Source organism: Homo sapiens, chromosome 4 (assembly GCF_000001405.40).
Source record: "Homo sapiens chromosome 4, GRCh38.p14 Primary Assembly".
Lineage (NCBI taxonomy): Eukaryota > Metazoa > Chordata > Mammalia > Primates > Hominidae > Homo > Homo sapiens.
Genome location: NC_000004.12, coordinates 123,462,009 through 123,465,510, shown reverse-complemented (window position 1 = coordinate 123,465,510; position 3,502 = coordinate 123,462,009). Strand labels below are relative to the sequence as shown.

The window sequence follows — 3,502 nt, the reverse complement described above, 5'->3', positions numbered from 1 at the left end:
TGGCTTCCCAAAATCCAGAGGACAAAGATGTGTAAACGGATAATCATGGCCAGCCACAAGCAAATCCTAACCTACTTTTTAGATTCATCTCCTATGACATGCCATGCTAGCCAAACTGCTGTATTAGCCATACTCGAAAATGCTTTTATGTCTTTGGTCACTGTTCCCTAAAAGAGGACACATGCTCCATTGTCACTTCTCACCAAATACTCCCATTTCTTCAAGGCTTGTTTCAAGCCCCACCTCATCCCAATTCTAGGTCACTCTCACTTCCATTGCTTTCTGAAGCTTTCTGGGTCATGGCACTCCCTATCTCTACATATTTTCATTCAATCTAGTTTGATTATGCCTTATCATAATCAATTATACATTTATATTTAATTTCGGGTTTGGAGGTATTTGAGGAAGAGTGTCATATGATCTCTTAGAATGGTTACTCTTGTGGTGGCACACAAGAAACTATTGCAGGATCAGAATATAAGGTGATGAGGGAAAAGCAGAGATACGTGTATGGAAGCGCTGTGTACCAAACCAGATTGCGGAGCATGGTACAAAGTAAAAGAGAAAATACACTTGGATTTCAATATGAGAAAACATCACTAAGGCTTTATTTCATATGAAAAAGTGGGAATTAGCATGATTTTAGGAAAAACAGTGAGAACATTAATGCGGCCAGAAAAGATTGTTCCCTTAGGAATTTTGTGGTGAGATATTGTCAGATAAAACTGTTGATAACGAACTTCAGTGAGAAACTACACATTTAAATATGGCTATGTTCCAACACAAAATTATTTAATTCCCTAATAATTTCTGTGATGGGAAATTATAATTCAACCGAAGCACTGGCAAACAGAGCTGACTTTTATAGAACATTATCTTTAAATGATAATAAGCATGAGCATACAATCCCTTTGCTATTCAAATTGTCTACATTCATTTACTGCTTAATTCAGCTCTGCTAAGCATCATTATTCAAAATTCTACTTTAGGAAATGGAGAAACCAAACCCAGTTACTATAATAATCTGAATTTCCTCCATTATATTTCCCACAATTTTTTATGTTAATAATTTTTTCCAAAGGTGAAATGTCAATGACACTGATTTTAGCAGCCTGTATTTGCTAGAGCTGGTCTTTTTTCAGAGCCCCTATCTCATCAGCTTAAAAGTTCAAGGGGGTGTTAGTCTTGATATTTGCAGCAATGAAATGCAATGTTCCTGCACGTTTATTCTTTTCCTCTTTTCAGGTTTGCTTTTTTTGTGTTTATTTTCTCATGGTTTCAAAACTTACTCTGCCAAATTGTCAAGTCTGGAATTATTTTCTAGCACTGCAGTCATTGAAGCATAGTATTGTTTTGTTTGCCATCCGGAACATCCTCCAGTTCTACTCAGAGGGGAAGAAGAGGAGAAGAAAGGGGTAGCAGGTGCTGAAGTTCTATTCACAAGGGCACTGACCCTTGGCAGGGGCGTGACAGGGCTTTAAAATAGGATTAGACACCCAAACAAGAAAAAGGTCACACTTGACATTTCCACTGGAAATACCAATGCAAATAGAGCTGATCCTAGGGACATTTTTCACATACACACACACACACACACACACACACGAAATTTTGAGTTGGTTTAAGAGAAAAATGATAAATTTCAATGAATTTTTTTTAAACGCTTAAACAAGCAACTATAGGAAATAGAGCACAATAATAGCAACAAACATGCGTCAAAAATTCATGAGAAATGTCTTCTGTCTTCTGTTGTTTGTTATTTTTAAGGGTTCATTCTTTATTTTGTCATAAGAAGAAAACCAAGGATGGAGTTGATGGGGGAAGTGACATGAAGATCTGGACATGTTGATTTTGATAGATATATAAATTCTCATTATTTTTAAAAACTTAGTCCCTAATCATTGTCATCCCCATTTCTACTTGCAAATTGTCCCATCTGTCTCCTGAATAATAATAGAATAATGATAACATTTTATCTTCCAATTTTTCATTTCATATTAAAGTAGCTGGCCAGGTGCAGTGGCTCACACTTGTAATCCCAACATTTTGGGAGGCCAAGGCTGGAGAATTTCTTGAGCCCAGGAGTCCAAGACCAACCTAGCCAAAGAAGTGAGACCCTGTCTCTACAAAAAAAAAAATTAAAAATTAGCCAGGCATTGGGGTGTACACCTGTGGTCCCAGCTACTCAGGAGGCTGAGGAGGGAGGATCGCTTGATCTTGGCAGGTCAAGGCTGCAGCGAGCCATGATTGTGCCACTGAACTCCAGCCTGGGCAACAGACCAAAACCCTTTCTCAAAAAAATAAAAATTAAAAATTAAAGGAGCTGACCAAATCATCTGATACCAAACTAACATTTGGAGGCACCTGGAAGAGGAAATCTGTCACAAGCTGCTTCAATATCCACCAATCCCTCTTGAAGATTTCCACATCATCCACCAAAAAGGAGACTGTCCGTAAACCCACTGCATAATTCTGAAAAGTCATGAGCCTTCCAGCTCCAAAATTTTGTGCCTTCGTTCGCACAACTGAGACATGTATGTCCATTAACAACATTCCCAAAGTAAGCCAGACCAACACAGGTTTATTCCCAAAACAAAGAATTCTTAGAGGAGTAAATAAATTCTAGAAGCGTGCATGATACAGTTATTCAAAGAAGTCCAAGAAAAACATATCTGCTGTGTAGATTTCAATTTTAATATATTAGACATATATGAAGGGAAGTTCCATCTATACACAAATTGTTTGTTAAGATTCTTGAATGTGTGACTATGGAAAAAATAAAAATCAAATCTACCCTAGAGAAGCTAAAACTCCTGAAGTAAAGAACTGTCCTGAAATGGTATGGTGGGACATGAGGTTTGAGGTAGGGGCAGTAGATTCTACTTCACTCTCGTCCAGTGACTACAGGTTTTAAAACTGCCTACCATATTGAAATGATGTAATTTGCAGTATTTTATTAATCACAAGTCAACCAAGTTGTCAGAGTGTCTGGTATAAGATTACCTTGAGTTTTAACCAAAATCAAAAGTAGAGAAAAACAAAAAAGCAACCCTCCCCGGGGAAATATATGATTCCATTAAGTTATTTGAAATTATTGCAACACATTCAAAGACACTTATAAATACCTAGGTAAGCACCTAGGGACCCTATATCTCAAACTGTTAGAGCTTCTATAAACAGAAGCAACAACCACAAAGTTTGGCTGCACTGAGCCTAGAACATGCTTCACCACATTCCATTCTCACAAATTAAGTGTAATATAGTCATGCATTGCCTTATAACAGGGTTATGTCCGGAAAGATGTGTCATGAGACTGTTTTGTTGTTGCATAAACATCAAAGTGTCCTTACGCAAACCTAGAGGGTGTACACCCTACTACACACCTAGGCTACTGCTCCAAGGCTACACACCCGTACAGCATGTTACTGTACTGAAGACTGTAGGCAGCTGTAACTCAATGGTATGTGTGTTATCTAAATGTAACTAAATATATAAAAGGTAC

At 37.6% G+C, this 3,502-nt stretch overlaps 1 annotated feature.

Moving 5' to 3' along the window:
- Positions 212–3,238: an enhancer, noted in NCBI's record as "VISTA enhancer hs1582". NCBI's record gives its function as "enhancer in: hindbrain (rhombencephalon)[6/8] | midbrain (mesencephalon)[6/8] | facial mesenchyme[4/8]" and the evidence as "EXISTENCE:transgenic organism evidence [ECO:0001131][PMID:17130149]".